This window comes from Homo sapiens, chromosome 18 (assembly GCF_000001405.40).
Source record: "Homo sapiens chromosome 18, GRCh38.p14 Primary Assembly".
NCBI classification, from domain to species: Eukaryota; Metazoa; Chordata; class Mammalia; order Primates; family Hominidae; genus Homo; species Homo sapiens.
The window spans coordinates 24222592-24244793 of record NC_000018.10 but is presented as its reverse complement, the minus strand read 5'-3'; the positions used below and the strand labels follow the sequence as shown (position 1 = coordinate 24244793).

The 22202-nt window shown below is 39.9% G+C and overlaps 1 protein-coding gene across 5 annotated transcripts in view, besides 1 other annotated feature; it reads left to right on the top strand.

The window, feature by feature from the left end:
* OSBPL1A (oxysterol binding protein like 1A) overlaps window positions 1-22202 on the top strand; it is a 235780-nt gene that overhangs the window by 153031 nt on the left and 60547 nt on the right. For 4 of the 5 annotated variants that reach the window (XM_017025530.2, NM_001242508.1, NM_018030.4 and 1 more), the window contains 2 exons: window positions 5412-5574; window positions 19596-19752. In XM_017025530.2, the coding sequence (XP_016881019.1) occupies window positions 5412-5574; window positions 19596-19752 (320 nt within the window). Of the gene's footprint in view, window positions 1-5411; window positions 5575-19595; window positions 19753-22202 lie in introns of those variants that run through there. The other variant, XM_047437287.1, reaches the window with a different exon arrangement.
* Window positions 10556-11165: an enhancer, noted in NCBI's record as "OCT4-NANOG hESC enhancer chr18:21813593-21814202 (GRCh37/hg19 assembly coordinates)". NCBI's record gives its function as "activates a minimal SCP1, AML or CMV promoter by ChIP-STARR-seq in naive H9 embryonic stem cells {active_cell/tissue: H9 hESC(naive)}" and the evidence as "EXISTENCE:reporter gene assay evidence [ECO:0000049][PMID:30033119]".

The following is a 22202-nucleotide window of genomic DNA, read 5'->3' as shown; positions in this document are numbered from 1 at the left end:
GTGTCGTAGCTGGCTAGCACATGACTGTTTTCAAAACTCTGCATTCTCTTGCTGGCGCCCATTCACTTTGGAAATAGCCACTATGGATTTTGCCTTCTGGCCTGAAAGGGAGTGAAATGAGAGACTGCCATATTGAAGTGGTTTGAGGAGACAGATTACTGGAAAGGCTTACATTTGTATTTTAAGGGGCTACAGACACAGATCAATGCGTATGTTTACTGTTAAGCGTATGGTGGTTCAGTCCTTAAGCTTTTCTTAATAAAAAGTGCAACATTTTTGTTAACTTGAATGTATGTTGATTTTTGTCATGGGAAAGTCATTGGACTGAGGGTGTATATTCCATATGCGAATTTGAAAGGTAAAATTTCAGCCTTATTCTAGAAAAGTTCTAATGTATAAACACATATACAATTATAATCTAATAATTATAAACATATCTGTTGGGACCCACTAGTTCTGTGAAGGAAGTTATTTATTCTTTTAGTAATAACTAGGGTGATGATTATTGTTTGAGAATTTAAAAAATCTAGTAATCAATATTCACATATTGATACATAATAGAAGTGAAGCCTTGTGCCTGGAATTACAAAGACATTAAGAGATTGCGCAGAAGGCACTGTTTCTGTTACACCATAGTTTCTAAGCTTGCAACTAAGAATTTGGAAACAGTTCAAAAGTAAGGTGAATATTTTATGAAGTTGCACTTTGCATATCTTTTTTAGCAGTTCTACACCAATTTTTTAGTGCAGGATTTCCCCTAGGTGTTCTGAAATGTGGAGACTGTAGAGGATCTGGAATTACATCGTTTCAGTGATCCTTCTGACCAAAAAGTACTAATGGCACTTAAGCATGCTTTCAGATGTTTCTCTAAAGTATCAAGAAAACTCATTACCAGTGCATTTTCTGTGATGTGTAGTTACTCTCTCATATACATCACTTACATGACAGGAGAAATTGCCATTTTGTGGCTATTTTATAAGAAGGTATCTTCAGTGCAGAAAATCCTGTTAGGCTTGAAACTAATAAAAGTACACTCAGATCAATTGAAAGATGAAAACAAAGTAAGAAATAGAATGTGGCTAGAGCCTCAGTCTCTTCCTGTCCTGTTTCCAACCCCTTTTACTGTCTCTCAAGAACAAGTGAGAACAGATGTGAATGCGGTAGCAGCTAAGTGGTGCTTATTTTAGGTGGGTAACGGGTAGATTGCATTTTGAATAAGATTTTTTTGAGGGGACTGGATATTTATGGGCCTCTATCATTTATCTTGCTACTTTGCTGAAATCTAGATGAATTTAGGTATTAAAATGTATGTACTCGTTAAATAGGATACTTTAGTTAATTCTTATATTTAAAGATATGGTGTCAACAGCAAATTTACATTTTGATATTGGAAAAGCTAAAAAGGGGAAAGAGATGGGGTAGGCAGGGGTGAAGAATTTGGATTTTCTTGCAGTGTTGATTTTAGAATCTACAAATATAACAGTGCTGAGAGATCTTTTCAAAGAAAGGATCATTTTGGACATTGCTCAATTTTGTAGTCCTTGTTTATTTTTTATTTTTTATGTTTTTGAGACAGAATCTCGCCTGTTGCTCAGGCTGGAGTGCGACGGCGTGATCTCAGCTCACTGCAACCTCCACCTCAGGGTTCAAGCGATTCTTCTGCCTCAGCCTTCTGCAGTTGAGATTACAGTCTCCTGCCACTGCGCCTGGCTTATTTTGTATTTTCAGTAGAGATGGGGTTTCGCTGTGTTGGCCAGGCTGGTCTCGAAGTCAAGTGATCTGCCCGCCTCATGTAGTCCTTGTTTATATAATAGAGAAATGAAGTGTTTAACCCATCTGATGGAAGTAGGACAGCTTTTTATTTATTTTTTTAAGTTGACTCTAGCCTTAGTATGCTTATTTCCTCTTCTGGAGATACAATTTAGATTATAGGAATATTTGCAAGTATTTTTCAGATTTTCTAAAAATTGTAATTACATGAGTAATTTGTTTTTCAATTTTTCATGTCTCTTCTGATCTTGATTGCTTACCATTTATTGCGATTTTTATTTCATTATCACAGCTGTAATAATAATAATCTGCCTGCTGTATTGATAAACACTAAAGTGCCTGAGGACTGGAACTTGGGTTTAACCTTGTTTCTGCTATAAACTTAACATTTCAGTAAAACTGTATCTTAAGCTATGTCTAAGACCTTAGAGTGTTGTACCTGATGTGCAGCTGGCAGGAACTCAGGGCCACAGAACAGAGAAGAGCCTTCATCCTTGGGGGCTGTGGGGAGGAGCATGGGAGAGGGAGTGTCAAGAGGTAAAAGGGTTAGATTTGGCAGTGAGTAATGCAGGATTTGTGAGAGGGGCCACAGTTCCCAAAACCTCAAGATGGAAAGTGTGACCTAGAGGAGGTTTTGGATGTCACTCCATCCAGTGCTTTTCTTTTCTTTCTTTCTTTTTTTTTTTTAACCCCCTAACTGAATCTTTTTTGTTTGTTTGTTTGTTTGTTTTAATTATACTTAAAGTTCTGGGATATATATGCAGAACATGCAGTGTTCTGCATATATATATATGTGCCATGGTATACATGTGCCATGGTGGTTTGCTGCACCCATCAACCTGTCATCTGCGTTAGGAATTTTCTCCTAATGCTCTCCCTCTCCTTGCCCCCCACCCCCCAACAGGCCCCAGTGTGTGATGTTCCCCTCCATGTGTCCATATGTTCTCATTGTTCAACTCCCACTTAAGAGTGAGAACATTCGGTGTTTGATTTTCTATTCCTGTGTTAGTTTGCTGAGAATGATGATTTCCAGCTTCATCCATGTTCCTGCAAAGGACATGAACTCATTCTTTTTTATGGCTGTGTAGTATTCCATGGTGTATATGTGCCACATTTTCTTAATCCAGTCTATCATTGATGGGCATTTGGGTTGGTTCCAAGTCTTTGCTATTGTGAATAGTGCTGCAATAAACATATGTGTGCATGTGTCTTTATAGGAGAATGATTTATACTCCTTTGGGTATATACCCAGTAATGGGATTGCTGGGTCAGATGGTATTTCTGGTTCTAGATCCTTGAGGAATCGCCACACTGTCTTCCACAATGGTTGAACTAGTTTACACTCCCACCAACAGAGTAAAAGCGTTCCTATTTCTCCACATCCTCTCTAGCATCTGTTGTTTTCTGACTCTTTAATAATCGCCATTCTAACTGGCGTAAGATGGTATCTCATTGTGGTTTTGATTTGCATTTCTCTGATTACCAGTGATGATGAGCTTTTTTTCATGTTTGTTGGCTGCATAAACGCCTTCTTTTGAGAAGTGTCTCTTCATATCCTTCACCCAGTTTTTGATGGGGTTGTTTGTTTTTTTCTTGTAAATTTGTTTAAGTTCATTGTAGATTCTGGATATTAGCCCTTTGTCAGATGGATAGATTGCAAAAATTTTCTCCCATTCTGTAGGTTGCCTCTTCACTCTGACGGTAAGTTTCTTTTGCTGTGCAGAAGCTCTTTAGTTTAATTAGATCCCATTTGTCCATTTTGGCTTTTGTTGCCATTGCTTTTGGTATTTTAGACATGAAGTCCTTGCCCATGCCTATGTCCTGAATGGTATTGCCTAGGTTTTCTTCTAGGGTTTTTATGGTTTTAGGTCTTACATTTCAGTCTTTAATCCATCTTGAGTCAATTTTTGTATAAGGTGTAAGGAAGGGGTCCAGTTTCAGTTTTCTGCATATGGCTAGCCAGTTTTCCCAACACTATTTATTAAATAGGGAATCCTTTCCCCATTGCTTGTTTTTGTCAGGTTTGTCAAAGATCAGATGGTGGTAGACGTGTGGTGTTATTTCTCAGGCCTCTGTTGTGTTCCATTGGTCTGTGTATCTGTTTTGGTACCACTACCATGTGTTTTTCAAACTGTTGGGATACCACCTGGGTTTGGGCCCTAGAGGGGACCTCTGGGAGGGAAGGGAAAGTGAAAGGAGTGTGGCTTCTGCTTCATTCAGTGTCACCCAGTGCACAACTGCTTTCGAAAACATCTATTTTATATGTTGGGATTACAGTTGAGAAATAGGTTCCGCTGCTAAAGTAGAAAAAAAAAGTAGTTTGAAGACCACTATGTTGAAGACTTCTGATTAGATTATTAGGTGATAGCAGAAACCTCTTATAGGAGAGGAAACTAACGAACAAGAGACTTCTGAGAAGACGCTGCTGCTACCTACCAGTGGATCCCTGCTTTTCTGCCTCCTGTCTGTCTATAGTGCACATTGGCTCCAGAAATCCAGCAAGATTAAGGCATAGTAGTGATTTCCGGACTACTGATATGAAAATAGGCAAAACTGTCCCTATCAAATCCAGTACATGCTATTTTATAAGGATTAGGTGACTTGAATTGTAGAGGGTTTTGGTCAACCAAAAGGTTCAGATACTGCTGCATTAGACAGGAGGAATAGATTGTAACTTCAAACAGTAAAAAAATCAAACCAGGCTTTGCCTTTTTGATAATCTTTTGACTTTTTTAGTATACTAAGTTAAAGGTAAAATGTGGAGTTGAAACCAAAATATGGAATTGGAAAATGAAAAATAGGCCAGGCATGGTGGCTCAGGCCTGTAATCCCAGCACTTTGGGAGGCCCAGGCGGGCAGATCACTTGAGGGGCTGAGTTCAAGACCAGCCTGGCCAACATGGTGAAACCCCATCTCTACTAAAAATACCAAAATTAGCCAGGTGTGGTGGTGCACAACTGTAATCCCAGCTACTCAGGAGGCAGAGGCATGAGAATAGCTTGAACCCAAGAGGCGGAGGTTTCAGAGTCGAGATCGCACCACTGCACTCCAGCTTAGGCGACAAAATGAGGCTCCATCTCAAAAAAAAAAAAAAAAAAGAGAAAAATGAAAAATAGAATGTTTGTAGTCATTACCAGGCAACCTGTTTCCCTTCATTTGATATACCAACTATTACCAACTATTTTGGGAGTAAACTGAGGGATTATATTTTATGCTTTGATGTAGTTTGCTTTTTAATATTTAGAATTTTTTTAAAATTTTTGTTCCAAGACTTGCTGAAACTGTTTTTTTTAACTGTGTACTTAATGTTGAGAGAGAAATATTCTTTATGTTTAAAAAGAATTGTATGATTTCTGAATTGACTGATGTTCTTATGCCAGGATCCTGATCATTTGAGCTGAATTTATTTGCTAGTTCTGAATCTATTTTCATTAGCTAAGCTGTTGCCAGAAAAGGCCCCATGGGAAGAACAAAATTAGTTTAATAATTTTGCTCATTCATCCATGCACATGTGACACGACTGTTTTCATTTCTGATATTGCAGTTGAACTGGATCAAAAGCAATTAATTTTCACATCCTCTGAGTACGTCTGTGTCTCCTGTCACTCTGAAGTCTTTTCTGTATATCTGTTTTCTTCTAGGTGAGGAATTTTAAATTGGAACAAGAGCAAGAAAAAAACAAAATCTTGTCAGAAGCACTGGAGACGCTGGCCACTGAACATCATGAATTAGAGCAGTCTCTGGTGAAAGGCTCTCCACCCGCCAGCATCCTTAGCGAGGACGAGTTCTATGATGCGCTGTCAGGTAACTCTGGGATCCTTCCCTCTGCATTGTTGGTGATTTAGAGTCCACCACCTAAATGAGCAATGTCCCCTTGAGTCCACCACCTTAGAGCAGAGGTCACCTAGAGTTTCCTGGAATAAACAGATAGCGATGTATTGGTATAGCTCCCCAGATTTTTTGTGTGTCATGTTATTAAGGCTGGTGTCTGAAAGTGTGGAATGAAATTCATCACAGTCTCTGCCTATACTGAAGATGTATTCTAGGCTAGGTTAGAGTGCTGTTAAAACTGCCCACATTTGATTTGTCCTTTACTGGGTGACCATTTCCTAGTGCCAGGCATTAGCACATATTGTAAGGAGAGACAGACAGACAGTTTCTGTCTTCAAAGAGGTCTTTATATAAAGAATACAGGTAACGAAGCGCAAGTGCTTGGTGATAGCACAGTATGCTAAGTGCCACAGTAGAGGTGAGACCACCATGTGTCTGGAGCAGAGAAGAGGAGGTGTTTAACTTTGCCTCAGAAACACACACTAAAGGGCGGCATAGCATTTCTGCAAGGAGCATGGACTCCAGAGCTTCTGTCACTAGCCAGCTGTGTGACCTGGGGCGTGTTCCATGACCTCTCTCTTCATAGTTTCCGCATATTTAAAATGGGATAATTATAGTGTCCATTTCAATAGGTCGTGTGATGACTAAATGAGTTTCTCTGTTTAGATAGTGGTTAGAACAGTGCCTGGTGATACTCAGTGCTAAAAAAATGGGGAATGCACGTGGAGATTGGAGGATGAGAGGAGGTACTGCTAAGTAGTTTTGACCTTTTTGGAATTTACTTTCAAATTTTTTGAGGCAGGTGTGTGTGGGAGAAGGGAAAGGAACATGGAAGGGGGTGGTTGGAGATCAGTGGGACTGAGAAAAATTAATTGTTGTATGGGAGAAAATGAAATGCATATATAATAGGTGAGCATATACAGTTACTGAGTTTCACAACACTTGATCACAGATGCAAGAAATCTTGGTGTATTGGAAGTGAAGGATCAAATTCATAACAGGACAGGAAAGAGAGGAAGCATGGTGAGAGGTAGGAGAGATGAGAACTGAAGATTAGGTTAAGGAAGTTAAAGAAAATGGTATGGTAATACAGTACATGGAAAATGATGTTGGTAGAATGTAGATTGACGGGGAAGTGATTGATTGATTAAGACAAATAGGAACATTATTAATAGAGGTTTGATAGAAGTAAAAGAAAGGGAAGAAGTAATTTTCATAGCCAGATTTGGGAACAATTGGACAAAGAAGATTATAATGATGACGGGTTGTCAATTAAATAAGGGATTTGTGAACAGAGTGACTCACGTTGGGAAGAGAAGGTAGGATTTGAGATCGATGGAATGAGTGACAAGGCAAGGGAAGTATTTAGCCTGTCTGAGGGAGGTCGGAGGGAGAATGAGTGACTGCTGACATTTATTACACGTCCACCTTGTGCCAGGTCCAGTGGCGCTTCTTCTATGGGGAGCATCCAAAAAGGAAAATTACAAGAGGGATGCTAGGTCTAAATGCATAGAGCTTGGAATATAAAAGAGCCCAGATACTTCAGTTGCTCATGTTATATATTCTTTTTTAAAAATAAAACTTTATGACCAGGCATGGTGGCTGAGCACTTGTAATCCTAGCACTTTGGGAGGCCAAGGCAGGAGGACATCTTGAGCCCAGAAGTTCGAGACCAGCCTGGGCAACATGGTGAAACCCCGTCTCTACTGAAAATACAAAAATTAGCCAGGCGTGATGGTGCATGCCTGTAATCCCAGCTGCTCAGAAGGCTGCGGTGGGAGGATCGCTTAAGCCCAGGAAGTAGAGGTTGCAGTGAGCTGTAATGGTGCCATTGCATTCCAGCCTGGGGGCAACAGAATGAGACCCTGTCTCAAACAAAAAAAAACCTTTAAAAAATTTTATTTAAGAACCCCATGTTTGTTCTAAATAATTCCATATAAAAGTATGTGAGAACCCAGTGAAATTCTCTTCACCTGTTATCCCAGTTAATCATGCACTCCTTCTCCTCCTCAGAGGTTCTGATTAACAGCCGGATATACTCTCTTACAGACCTTTTTTGAGCATCACATATATATGTGCTTGTGTATATATATAGATTTTTTTTTTAAGTCATGAATGGAAGGAGCAGTGTAATTGCCCTGGACTTGCTTTTTCCTGACAACTTGTCTTAGAAATCTTTACTGTCAGTGTTATAAGCTCTAGCCCACTCTTTTTCAAGGTTGCATGAAAGTCCATGATATAATTATGTCACAGTTTCCTTAATCCTTCTCTTCTTGATAGACGTCTAGCAGCCACTATCTTTCTGTTTCTCAGTAATATTTTAATAGTCGTCTCCTCCGGGAGGAAGAGAGAAAAAGAACCATAGTCCCTAGATCAGGATTGGCAAATACATTTCATCTCAAGTGCCAGTTCAGATTGTTTTGCCGTATCTGCTGCTTTGTGGATTGCTGTGTTGAGAACGATCCTGAGGCTCAGTCCAAACGCCTAGGCTCATCAGCACATCCTGCCATGGCTATAGGAAGTGGAGCAAGGGTCAGGTGCCAAGCATATTCTCCTTGCCTTGAATAGCACACCTGAGTTTTGTTACACTTGCATGAACACAGTAGCCCTTCTGTGGCTACTCCTATTTCCTACTAAAAATCTTGGAATAATTTGGCACAGTGTAGAAACTGCATTAAAATGAAGAGTCAGATGCCCTGTCAAGTGCTGACTTGCTGTTGACCTAGCCACCCAATTCATTGAAATCATCAAAGCCATCATATGGGAATGACTTCATCTTCCCTCTGTAGTCTCTACACACCAGCCTCTGTCCCCATTTCCTCCTTCACTCTATTACAAGGGAACAAATGGTCCCCCCTCATTAAGGCCATCTCTTCCTCATTTGTTCTGGTACCTGTCTCCTTGTGACTTCTCAAGGAGACTTTTGTTTAGTTATTGCTTCCTTCACCTACACTTTCAATATTGTATAACTAAATACTAACTTGAAATTCCTGTATTAGTCTGCTATTGCTACTGCAATAGATCACCACAAACTTAGTGGCTTAGTAGACAATGCAAATATATTCTGTTACAGTTGGTGGTCAGAAGTTCCAACATCAAGGTGTCCACAGGGCTGTGTTTCTTCTAAAGGCTCTAGAAGAGACTGTTGCCTTGCCTTTTCTAGCTTCTAGGGACCTGCCTGCATTCCCTGGCTCAAGGCCCCATCCTCCATCTGGAAGTCTCTCTCTGACTGCCCGTGACTCTGGCCTTGCTCCTTCCCTTTTATAAAGACCTATGGCATTACGTTGGACCTACTCAGATGATCCAGTATAATCTCCCCATCTCAATATACGTAACTTAATCATATCTGCAAAGTCCCTTTTATTAATGAAAGGTAACATATTCACAGGTTCCAGAGATAAGGACATGGACGTCTTGGGGAAGCCCTTGTGCTGACTGCCACAGTCCCCAAATTTATATCTCCAGCCTTGATCTCTTGCTAGAGACTTACATATTCAGCTGTCAGCTTTATGTATAAAAAACAAATGCTTGCTCTTCCTCCCAGATACTATTTCTCCTGGAATTGGCCTCATTTTTGTAAATGGCACCTCTTCATCTCCTAAAGCCAGAAACTAGGAGTGATTCGTGACATTTCCATGAGACATAGAATCGAGGCCTGGCCATTCTGCCTTCAAATCATATCTTGAATTCATCTGTGTTTTACTAATGGAGGGTAGCAGTTAAAAGTATAGGTACTCAAGCTGAAGGCTCTTGCTTAGTCAAAGCTCTACCATTCCCCTACTCTTGGGAAAGTTACTTCACTTTCCTCTGCCTCATTTCTTCATCTGCAAATGGGTCATAGGATCATTGCAAAGAATTAACTAATACATATTTGTAATGTACTTAAAACAGTGCCAGGCACACTAAGGGGCTAGCAGATATTAGCTCTCATTATGGTGACCCGCACTGCACCTACTTTCCTCTAGCCTCTTAACTGATCTTGGTGCTTCCAGCCTTGGCCTGCTGACGTTCATCCCGTACACACCATCCATGGTGATCCTTTGTTGACAATCACATCATCGCATTCCCTCACCTAGAATTTTTCAGTGGTTTCTCATTGCACTTAAAATGAAACTCAGATGCCTTCACGGACCTTCAAGGCTCTCGACATGATCCAGACCCTACTGCCTCTTCACACTCACTTTGTCCCCTTGTTCCCTCCACTTACTATACCAGTGCCTCCTCCAGGCCTCAGATGCAGTAGTGATGTCAGGCAGTTGGATGCACAGTTAGTAAAGAGCAATGAAAAGTATACAAACCTCCACTTCATTTGAAGCTTAATTTTAACAACTAAATCATGACGATAGATGAAATCAAGCCTATCCTGATATTGAGAAGGTATGAAAAAAAAAGATTTTTCAACTTACTCTTCTTAAAAGATTTAAAAAATATTTTCACTAAATGTTTAATCTTTTAAAAAGTTGTTAACTCGTGTTACTTTAAAATAAAGGGATAACTTCATTAGATCTAAAGTCCATGTGGTTTCCTGTTTCCCTTTATCATATCCCTTTAAGCTTTTTCAGATAAGCAAGATCAATGGAAATCTACTCATAAGGTGGGTGAAGCAAGCCTTGGTGCAGAGCCAGCAGTGTAAGAGAGGAATTTTTCCAGCCCCCTGGCGTCCCCCCTGGGATCGCTTGAGAAAATTATTTTTCCAGTAAGCTCAGTGACGAAACATTTCATAAAACTCCATAAAGCACACAGATTTTTTTCCCCACAAATTTGATTAAATTCCATTGTGTAAACTTATTTAAAAGGAGATAAATTTAATGAAGCCTCACATTTTGTCCTCATTGCGTGTGTGGGTGTGGGAGTGGGTGTGTTTAAGGAATGAAATGGTTATGTCAAGTGAAATTTCGGATATAGCTGTAAGGGAACACTTCCTGGGAAAAGGGCTAGACATTCATGCGCATTGAAACAAAAAGATATCATGAGAAACCACTGTGGATAAAGTATTCTTCAAATAAGCTTATAGAAATGCTTTATAGAAGAAGAAAGTGGTTCTTCATATATATTCATATATATTTCTACCCTATCAGTGTTGTTTTTTCTTTTTGCTACTTTGTCCACCAAGGCTCTCAAATACCTCTTCTCCTGGGTAGCCTTTCCTGACTCCTCCGGGCAGAATTAGTTTCTTTTTTTGTGTTTCCTTCAGTTTACATCTCTTTTATAGCCTCCTTGTGTTTTGTTTGTAAGATAATAGGACCCCGCAGAGGCTCACACCTGTAATTCCAGCACTTTGGGAGGCCAAGGCGAGTGGATCACTTGAGGCCAGGAGTTTTGAGACCAGCCTGGCCAACATTGTGAAACCCTGCCTCTACTAAAAATACAAAAGACTTTATCCGGGCATGGTGGCACATGCTTGTAATCCCAGCTACTTGGGAGGCTGAGGCAGGAGAATAGCTTGAACCTGGGAGGCGGAGGTTGCAGTGAGCCGAGATCGCGCCATTGCACTCCATCCTGGGCAACAGAGCGAGACTCTGTCTGAAAGAAAGAAAGAGAGAGAGAGAGAAAGAGAGAAAGAAAGAAAGAAAAATATAATAGGGACCATATCTGTTTACATCCCTGAAGTACGTAGCACAGAATCAGAGTTCTCTAAATGCTTGTCGAATGCAGGTTGTTGAAGAAATGTCATTGATGTTTCTGTCCTCCCTAAAAATATATTGTTATTCAATAATGAGCCTAAGATAATCAGGAATGCATGGTGATTTTATGCATCTATATTCACCACTTTGGATTCTGCAGGGGAGAGTAGGGATGGGTAGCAAAGGAGGAAGGAGGGATGAGATAGTATTGATATTAGAAAATGACATTTGTTCCCAAGGGGTTTACAGTAAAGTTGGAGATAGGATACTGCTACCAGGGAGGGGGCAGATGAAAATTAGTTAAAGGAGAGAAAACTAAAGGTACATGACTTTAGGAATCTCTCATAATCTTCTAAGGAGTTGTTTTTGAAACACTTATTACTGGTTAAATAACTAATTTCATGGTGGTTTTTCTTTAGTAACTAGTCTGAGAGCAGTTTCACGGAAAATTCCTGCTCTTTGAATATTGTAGGTTCAGAACGCATTACTTTTCTTACTGTGTGTTCATTTTCCTTTTGAGAAACATGTTGAGATCAGTTGCTCTAGAAAGGCTTTCTTGCTAAGCGTTCCCCTTAATGCTATTTTGGTTGAAATGTGCATGAATAATGCATAAAATCCGATAGCGTAGATGGGCAAAACCAATAGATAGTTATATCATGAAACTGAAACCAGTTTTAGCATTTCTCAGCAGATGTAAGAGTACATCTTTTAAATCTTGAACACTTGGAGGGCACCAGCCATATCATTCATCTTTCCAAACTGCTTCAGCAACTTGCACTTTACCTGATGTGTGGTAGGTACTTAGTAAATGTTGACTTATTACATCGAAGTCACATGAAAATACTTTGTTTTCTAACTATGGATTATTCTGCAACTGGCCTTTAGTTCTAGAATTGTTTTCTTTGTAGAGTTAATGCATAATGTGACCTTCCTAAAAATAATGTTGAGAAACAAGACAAATTGGGAAGCTCTGGATTTGGTAGCCCAAAATAGATCCACGTAAGATTTCCAGTAGCCCACACACTACGGTTTGTATAACTCCTCATGTTCCATTACATGTGCAGATGTTACAAATTGTAGAAAACAGTAGTAGATTTAGTTGCTTGGGGATGAGCCGGTACTTTTAAGAAACTCTGTCACAAGCAATACCCTACCATTTGGCTAATTTTGACCTTGGACATCATTCAGAGAGGATCTGTCTAGAATGTCTCCGACTCTTGTTGCTTGCTGCCAAGAATCTGTTTCAAGCTTTTGTCACTTCCTTAGTAAATTATTGCAGCAGTCTCTTGGCAGCCCCCTCTGGACTCATCCCGGTTTTCAGTTTATGATTCACTTTAAATATGTTAGGTTGTGTTTACTTTCTTTGTGTTCTTCATATTTACTGTGCTATTTCTGAGTTTATGCAGTTGTACCTCAAGGCTAAATAAAAATTTGGCACTGATATTTTAAGCTGTACCTTGGGTTGCTTTGGACATTTTCAGAACATGCCTGGTACGTGGGAAACCGTAAACAATAAAGGTATTAAATTAAGCATGTGTGCGTTTCCTGGCTGTTTTCTGTTACCTTCAGTAACAGGAGGAAGGGTGACTTGGACATTATCCACAGTTCTTCCCCATCTTGCTGCTTTGTGTACTATTTGTTCTCAGGCTGGTTTCCAAAGGTCAGGATAAAAAAGTGCTTATCAGGATAACTTACAAGAATTGTTGGCATGTTTATATTGTGAACTTTATGGCCTCTTCTTTCAGCCTTTTAATAGTAGGAAAAATTAACAAATCAACTCTTGGAAAGTTCTCTCACTCAATTACAAAAAGGAGCATAGCGGTCAGGATCTTAATTCTAGAGTAAAGTTAAAGTCACCATAAGCCGGCAATAGCCATTCATTGGCTTCCATGCTATTTTGATGAGAAAGGAGACTGTGTTCAATCTGAATGTGTTTAAAATAATTCTGAGTTCTAACATGGACAGAACTTTAAAGATCTTAAAGCAGGTGCAGTGGCTTACACCTGTAATCCTAGCACTTTGAGGCCAAAGTGGGTGGATCACTTGAGGTCCGGAGTTCAAGACCAGCCTGGCCAACATGGTGAAACCCCATCTCTACTAAAATACAAAAATGCTGGGCGTGGTGGTGGGCGCCTGTAATCCCAGCTACTAGGGAGGCTGAGGCAGGAGAGTTGCTTGAATCCAGGAGGCGGAGGTTGCAGTGAACTGAGATCACGCCACTGCACTCCAGACTGGGTGCCAGAGCAAGAGTCTGTTTCAAAACAAACAAACAAAAAGAACTTTAAAGATCTGGGCCATTGTCGACCCATAACATTAAAGCAAACTTTGTGAGATTTTACATTTTAATTCTATTAATACTGCTGTTTTAATTGAGGAACTAATCAGGTAAAGATTCTGTCCACCTTCAATGCTTCTGTAAACTAGAGCATTTTATCTTGTAAAATATATGTTTTTCAAGGTGTTATTCTGACACTTCTTAATGTTTTTGAGAGACAGGGTCTCGCTCTGTTGCCCAGTCTCAAACTCCTGGGCTTAAGTGATCCTCCACCTCAGCCTGCCGAGCAGCTGTGACTACAGGTGCACACCACTGCACGTGGCTTGATGGTTTCCCTATAAAATATAATCATCGACTGAGTCACCTGAATCCTTTTGGAACTAGATGGGAGTAAACACACCCACAAATAAGTGCTTATCAAGAGTATTCCATTTCCCGTCATTACTCAGGGCTGCACAGATTTTCCTAAGTGCTCATCAAAAGTTCAGTAAATAATGTAGGGCTATTTCATAAATCTTTTATGCTGTTTTTCAGGGGTCAGAAGTTTCCTAAAATTTTTGAGTGGTTTTGCCTGTTATAGAAACGTATATGTTTATTAAGGAGAAAATGGAGTGGGAAATAAAAAGAATAACGACAGGCTGCCATTGTCTGAAGTCTAGCTATGTATATTGTAAAAATACCTTCCTTCTGCTGCATTAAAAAAATATGGCTCTAGAAAAATCAACCAGTTTTCCTGGCAATGAGGTAAGAGTTAACCAGACCAGAATATAGTCCATGCATCCAACATGATAGCTAGCTCATTGGCTTTTAGGGACAGGTTTTTGTGTGTTTGCCTGGTTTTTGTTTGTTTGTTGTTGTTTTTATTGTAAAATATACATAACATAAACTTTCCAACGTGACCCTTTTTGAGTGTACAATGCAGTGGGATTAAGAACCTTTACTTTCCTATGCAACCATCACCACCATCTCTCTCCAGAACTTTTTTGTCATCCCAAACTGAAACTCCATCCCCATTAACTACCAACTCCCCATTCCTCCCTCCTCCCTCTCCTTGTTTGTCCTGAAAGCCTGAGTGTCGTGGCCTAACCCTACTGCAAGAGAGCACTGCAACCAGCACATGGGAGGCAGGATGCACCTCTTCCCTTCATGCTTTCTACTAAGGCATTAATATATTACCCACTAACATTTTGATGTTTATATGTGGGGGAACATTGAAGAACCCAGAATTTTATGATTGAATTATTGGTGGGGCGTGGTGGCCCATGCCTGTAATCCCAGCACTTTGGGAGGCCGAGGTGGGCGGATCACCTGAGGCCAGGAGTTCAAGACCAGCCTGGCCAACATGGTGAAACCTGTCACTACTAAAAATACAAAAATTAGCCGGGCATGGTGGCGCGCGCTTATAGTCCCAGGTACTTGGGAGGCTGGGGCACAAGAATCACTTGCGTGAGGGAGGCAGAGGTTGCAGTGAGCCGAGATCGTGCCACTGCACTCCAGCCTGGGTGACAGAGCGAGGCTTCGTCTCAAAAAAAAGCCAAAAAAAAAAAAAGATTGATTTATCACTTCATAGATACCAAGATGTAGCACTGATTTGTTTTACAGGGAGACTTGAAAATAACTTCTATGGATAGGCTTTGACTTTCATCAGCAACCTCCACAGTGGCTATGCCCTCTTTGGTATTGAGCTAAACATGTTTAAACTGAAATATCTATAGAACCATGAGTCTCCACATGAAACGATGCTGTACTAGCGATAGATTGGTGTGACCAAGGCTTTGAAGGTATAATCTCTCAAGAATGGTTCTCTGTTACTGACAGAGTAAGCCCAAACTATTTCACACAGTATACATTCCACATCTCTCTATTCATTGCACTAGAAATCACTGAGCTTTGGCTTTTAAGCAACTAGTTTTTATTTCACAGGCACTGTAAATCATGTAATTGATGTTTACTTCTTTGCCTTTGAAACTACAAAGCTCAGAGTTTATGATTCCTCTCTAGTGAGTATACAGAACCTCATGACATGTATCGGGAGACTACCTCATCCCTAGCTTCATTTTATATTTCTTCCCGCTACCTACCTTTTTCTTTTGAGACAGAGTCTCGCTGTCTCTCCCAGGCTGGAGTACAGTGGTTCAATCTTAGCTCACTGCAACCTCCACCTCCTGGGTTCAAGCAGTTCTTCCTGCCTCAGCCTTCCGAGTAACTGGGATTGCAGGGGAGTGCCACTATGCCGGGCTAATTTTTGTATTTTTGGTAGAGATAGGGTTTCATCATGTTGGCCAGTCTGGTCTTGAACTCCTGACCTCAAGTGATACACCCACCTCAGCCTCCCCAAGTGCTGGGATTACAGGTGTGAGCCACCGCGCCCAGCCTGTGTTTGCTTTTTATTTATCCTATGTAGTCAGCTTTAAGACTGACTCACAGTCTCATGTCTGCCCGTTCTGTGCCTTCCACTGCCATCTCACTGCACAGTGCATTCCTCGCTGTGTTGGCCATGGTGTTCTTATTGCTTGGGACAGCTCCTGTATTGTAACTGTCCTCATCCCCACTCTTACTCCTTGTCAGCGAACGCAGCTCAATCATCAGCCACAGTTCTTTCCTGATACAACATTCTCCACTCTGTAAAGTTGACTGATGCCTCCTTTGTAGCCCGCTGCCCCCATTCAGACTCCTGTGATCACCTAGAGAAATCTACTGAACTCGTTTGTTCACAAAACACTTCCCCGCTGCTGGGCCATGCGCAGGGACCAGATCTTATGCTTCCTTCACTTCACAGGCCTTGCAAGATATGAGGAAGGGAGGAATGAATTCAGCAGCATCAGATGTGGTGGATGAGTCAAAATAAGAATTGAAAAATGACCATTGTACTTTGCAATGTGGAAGTAATTAGCGACCTTTCTTAGAGCCCTTTAGGGGAAGGGTGGGGATAGCCTGACTATATTATAGCGAGAGGTTTGAGAGCAAAGTATAGAGGAGGAGTAAGGAGGGGGGTGAGGGGAGGGGGAAGAAAGAGGTGGAGGCACAGGGAGACAGGGAGAAGAGTAAGGACAAAGAGGGGGCACAGAGGGGGTGAGTCGGGCTGCTAATCACAGAGGACAGGGTCTGCACTGTCATCTGATGGAGCATCCCTAGGGGTCAGTGCAGTGGTCCCACGCAGGGGTTCTCAGTGTGACTGATGAGTTTGTGGGTCGTAGATCTTTATGTAGTCACTGAGTTGAAATCTTGTTCTGCGAAGTCCGTCTTTGCTTCATAGAAGCTCTTACTGTTCCGTGTTTAATGTTTATGTCTGCTTTTGCTAAAAAAAATTCTTTTTAGGTGGGTAAGTCCCTGCCTTATGATTGATGTCTCTTAAATTGCAAACACACAATCCTGTGCATAAATGCTTGAGGTATTTTGCTTCATTGCTTTATGATTTTCATGACTTCTAAATCATAAACTAATACTGTGTCTTAAATAATACCAGTACAGACGAAATTATTTTGATTTTTTACATTTTTTTTCTCAAGTGAAACAAACTTCAAAATGTTGGAGTGGAACCACCCCCACCCCAAGATGGCTGTTATCATCCCTGATGCAGGTCTTGTTCCTGCCGCCTCCTGGAGCACCTCTCTCACCTCCGCCCGAGCACCAATTCCACTGTTTCAAAATTTGCCGTTGTGCCATCTCTCCTTTGCAGCCTTTCCTGACAACCCTGTGCCTACTCCAGAAAACTAACTGATCTCTTTCCACACGTGCCCTAAACAAACTTCTGTCATTGTATTGCTCCCATGTTTTCAGACATCTGTTTACCTGAACCAGACTGGCCTTTCTTCAATGCAGAGAAATTATTTCTTTACTTGTATTTTAGAGTTGCAAAGCATTATCCTGGGTTTTTTTTGTCTTAGCATTATGTATGTTAAAAACAATCTTTTATTTCATTAAGTTGTTCTTGTAAACATAATGTTAATAACTTATTTCATCTGACAGGCAACTGTCCCCCTCTTATTGACTATTTAGGTTGTTTTTAATTTTTTTTCAATGATAGTTTGTTTCCTTCTGCCAAAATTGACAAAGAAAAATAAATGTCTCTTTAAATGTATTATTAAAATGTCCGTTTCTGGCCAGGCGCAGTGGCTCATGCCTGTAATCCCAGCACTTTGGGAGGCTGAGGTGGGCAGATCACCTGAGGTTAGGAGTCTGAGACCAGCCTGGCCAACATGGTGAAACCCCGTCTTTACTAAAAATACAAAAAATTAGCTGAGCATGGTGGCGCATGCCTGTAGTCCCAGCTACTCGGGAGGTTGAGGCAGGAGAATTGCTTGAACTTGGGAGGCAGAGGTTGCAGTGAGCCGAGATTGCACCACTGCACTCCAGCCTGGGTGACAGAGTGGGACTCCATCTCAAAAAAAAAAAAAAAAAAAAAATCTGTTTCTTTGTTATGAGGTATAGGACAGAACAAAACTATATTTTCAGAAATTTTACTAAAGTTATATTTACAGAAAACAAAACTTTCCCAACATTAAAAGCCTTTCTGCAGGTAACTTAGATCATTTATAGGGTCCAGCGTTGAGAGCCAAAGGTGCATTATCTAACCTGCACTTGGGCTGGTCCAACCGTCGTTCTCCTAAGTCAGCCTAATGTGGTAACAGTAAGGTTCTGTGATTTTTGCTGAATTATGTAATGCAGTAGTGGAAAAAGAAAGCACTAAAACGTTGTTATTTCCTGACCAGTTTAGCTATAATACAAATTTAGCAGATTGTTGATAAATTTATTGAAATAGGAAGTTTGCTGGAATGTGTATCAGAGCCTTTCTTAGAGCTGAGGATGAGGGAATGGCTTGTCCTCTGCTTAAGATGGGAAGTTGGAGGTCGTCGTGAATTTCCATTTTAATGAAAAACTCAGGCACCATTTAAAGTTTGATGGAGACTGAGTGACTGCTGTTTTGAGCCAAAATACATAAAACATTAAACAAGGAGTCAGAAAACCTGGGTTCAAATCCTGTCTTGCCCACTCACAAGCCATGAGAGACCATTAGCATGCTTGTTAATAACCACATTGTCCTACCTCACCTCCACTAAAGCATCCTTTTGATGCTCAAAAGAGATGAAGAATGTGAAATGCCTGAAAACGCTACTGTCGTGTACAAAAATGCGTTGTCTTCTTCCCAAACTGGCAGATGGCACCACTCTGAATATATAGCCAATTGGAAATGTGACCTTTCCATCCTAAGAATGCCTGCCTGACAATTACTATAGGGTTGCTTCGGGCTTTTGTCCTTGAGAATTTAAATATTATCATCCTGGAAAAAGTATTTTTAAAAGTATTTTATTTATTTTTGTATAGAGACAGGGTCTCACTCTGCCCAGGCTGGAGTGCAGTGGTGTGATCATAGCTCACTGCAGTCTCTCAACTCCTGTCCTCAAGTGATCTTCCTGCCTCAGCCTCCCCAGTAGCTGGGACTACAGGTGCACACCACCATACCTGGCTGTTATTTTTTTGTTTTGAAACTTTTTGTAGAGATGAGGTCTTGCTGTCTTGCCCAGGCTGGTCTTGAACTCCTGTCCTCAATCAGTCCTCCCATCCCAGCCTCCCATAGTACTGGGATTACAGGTGTGAGCCACTGACCCGACCTTTTTAAAGTATTTTTAAATTACTTTACTTTTATGTCTACAGTATTGGATGTAATTTAAACTTCTCATAAGGACAGCTAGCTACTACAGCTTTTTCATTATACATGAGTTTTAAAAATTAAAATTTTTTTGGAAGTTATACTTAAGATGCTTTGTGAGGGAAGAAAGAGGTGGAAATTTTGGGGGCAACCACTGAATATGATTTCGTAAAGAACTGAGTAATCTTTGGAGATGTCTTTTACTATGTGAGATCTGTTTACTTGTAAGCTTATGTAAGTGTACCTCTGTTTGATAAATCCACTTCAGCCTTATATTAGGTGCAGGTTCTGTGAAATCCCTGAGGAGGTAGTTAACAGATGGATTGTTGAGGGACAAAGTAGGCTGCTTAGGTTTCAAAGCCTGAGGCATGAAGGGAGGGATCCATTGTTACGGAAGCCTCACACCCAAGTTCAATTCATTAACTATGAACCTGCTCTGCCACAGATTCCGAGTCCGAAAGGTCCCTGAGTAGATTGGAAGCAGTGACAGCACGCTCCTTTGAAGAGGAAGGAGAGCATTTGGGCAGTAGAAAACACAGAATGTCCGAAGAAAAAGACTGTGGTGGCGGAGATGCTCTCTCCAATGGCATCAAGAAACACAGGTAGGATCGCCTCTGACAGTTGTCACTGCTGCGTTTTTACGATAAAGTACATTTGGATTCATAAAGAAATATATGTCTTGTCTTCATTTTTCCCCGTGTAGGGGATTTATATTGCTATATCACCTCAAAGAAAGCATTTAACTTAAGCACTTTTTCCTCTGTCCATTTAAGAGAATCATCTATAATTGTAGGAACAGAGCACATGGGCTTAGCAATCATGTTCTTAGAGGGGCACATAAATCCTTTAGTTGGTGATTTAGAAAGGTTATTCAGAACTACCTGTTAAAACTGATCCTATGTGCCCTTTCTCATCATACATCTTTTATGACTCTGCCTTCCATTGCTATTTTAGTTTCTGGCCATTTGATCTTCTAGTTGGTTTTATTAAGAATGAGTGGCAATGTTGCCAGTCTGTTGATGCAATTTAGTTAAATTTAAACAAAGACTTTTATTAAGACCCAGGACTTGCTGAACATACCCATTTTATACTGTCTAATAACATTAGTATGTTTTTATCCCCTTAATGGCTTGGTCCTAGAGATTGTCCCGAATTAATGAGACGTAATAGATACCCACAGTTCTCTGATTTCAGCCCAAGTTTAGAGAGACAGTGGTGTATATGCATGCTAGTGTTCATATAGTAAAATATTTTATAAAATGATCAGTGAAGGATGTATTCTGTTGTCATTATAAAAATTACTTTTTGGGTAAGGAGTTATTAATGGTAATTGCTGGAAAATAATTTTTTGTTTAATATTTGTAGGTTGTGTAACTCTAATTCCATTTCTGTACTATGATTCTGGCCACAATGGTTTTGACTACTGTTCTAGAAAAAAAAAGTGTGCATCACTTCTCTGGCTTATGTGTATTTTCCCTTTGTTAACAAAAAATGTCTCAGTTTGTATTTATTTTTAAAAGATTAGTGAGTTTTAGGTAACCAACTAGATAAAAACAGTTTTCTTCTGTTGGGTTAGAGGTTGTCCTCCAAACATGCTTATAATTGCAAATTATGTGTCCAGCAGTGAGTGTCTTTCCCGATTCCCTCTGTAGTTACTATCAGTTTCTTTGGAGTGCAGTACAAAATTCTATTTAAGACATGAAATACTTAACAGTAAACTTGGCAGACCTACCAATCTCTAAAGAGAAGACAGTCTTTAACTATTTAACACATACACCATGCCAGTCTGATGAGAACACAGGTGAAATCTTTGGAAAGTTCAAAGAAGCATGCAGATATTCAGTATTATTAATATCAGAAAAAGCATTGTGCTTAGATGCTGTCCTCTGCTGTAGCTACAGGGGATTTCTTTATTGCTTGTCAGGACTCAGTAGTTCTTTCGTATGTGTGCTATAATCATGACAGTAGTTATTTTGCATTTGACAGAATTATATTATACCATATTCATACATTCTGTGTTCTAAAGTCAAACCCAGAATGGTACAAATGTGAAAGTTAAGATGAGATTAAACTTTCAAAAACAAATGCAGTCAGGACAGGTCACTAAGGAAGAATACAAAGAAATGCAAGCAGGTGACCTAACCAGAAAAGTGTAACTGATAAATGAGATGCAACTTACTAAACCTATAAATGTAGTATGACGTTCTTCAGTTGTTCAAAGTGAAAGAGGAAAACTTAGGAAATTGTCAGCAGTGTAATATGTGGGAATACGTAATTCCTATTTTTAAAAAGTAGCTTTCACAGGAGTTTTTTAAAACCCTTTTTTCATAAAGTTCTTCTCTAATCAAATAGATAGAGCATATGCCACAGATAATTTAAAAGTTTAATTTTAGAATAGGAAACAAGAGTATTCAGTGCTATCACATCCCTCTTGCCTGCACCCTACATTGCATAATAAATAATCTATGATTATAATAGTTTTTATATTGATATCAAGAATAATTTGTATTCATAGTAGTTTGGGTTGTGTTTTAGAAAAACAGGCATATGTTGCTACATGACCTGGGGGATCAGCCTGAAGTGACCAAAAAATTTATTTGAAGTCTTGTGTTTTATCTTTAAAATTCATGTGAAAATTGTATTTGACCTCGTCGTAGATTTCTGTTTTCCTTACTATTAAAAAAAAATCATTTACTTATGATTTATTTAACTTTCCCATAGGAACCTTGCATTTCTCCCTCACCCCATACCACCAGTAGTACCCCCTGGGAAATACATAAATTTAGGGAGACATGGGAAACATACGGATTATAAACTATTTTTTAAAGAGAGACTGTGTATTTTTTAAAATGAGAAAAGAGAATATTATAAATTGTAGTTCACATAGAAAGTATTAAATCCCAGCTTAACTTTTGCTTGTAAAATAGAACAAGCGTTTTCAACCTTTAATTTCTTTTTTAGCCATGGAACTATTTGTGCAACAGAAGTTTAATGTGGAAGCTGTTAAAATCTCACCACCTTCATTTCTGTGGTACTTTTTTTCCAGAAAATA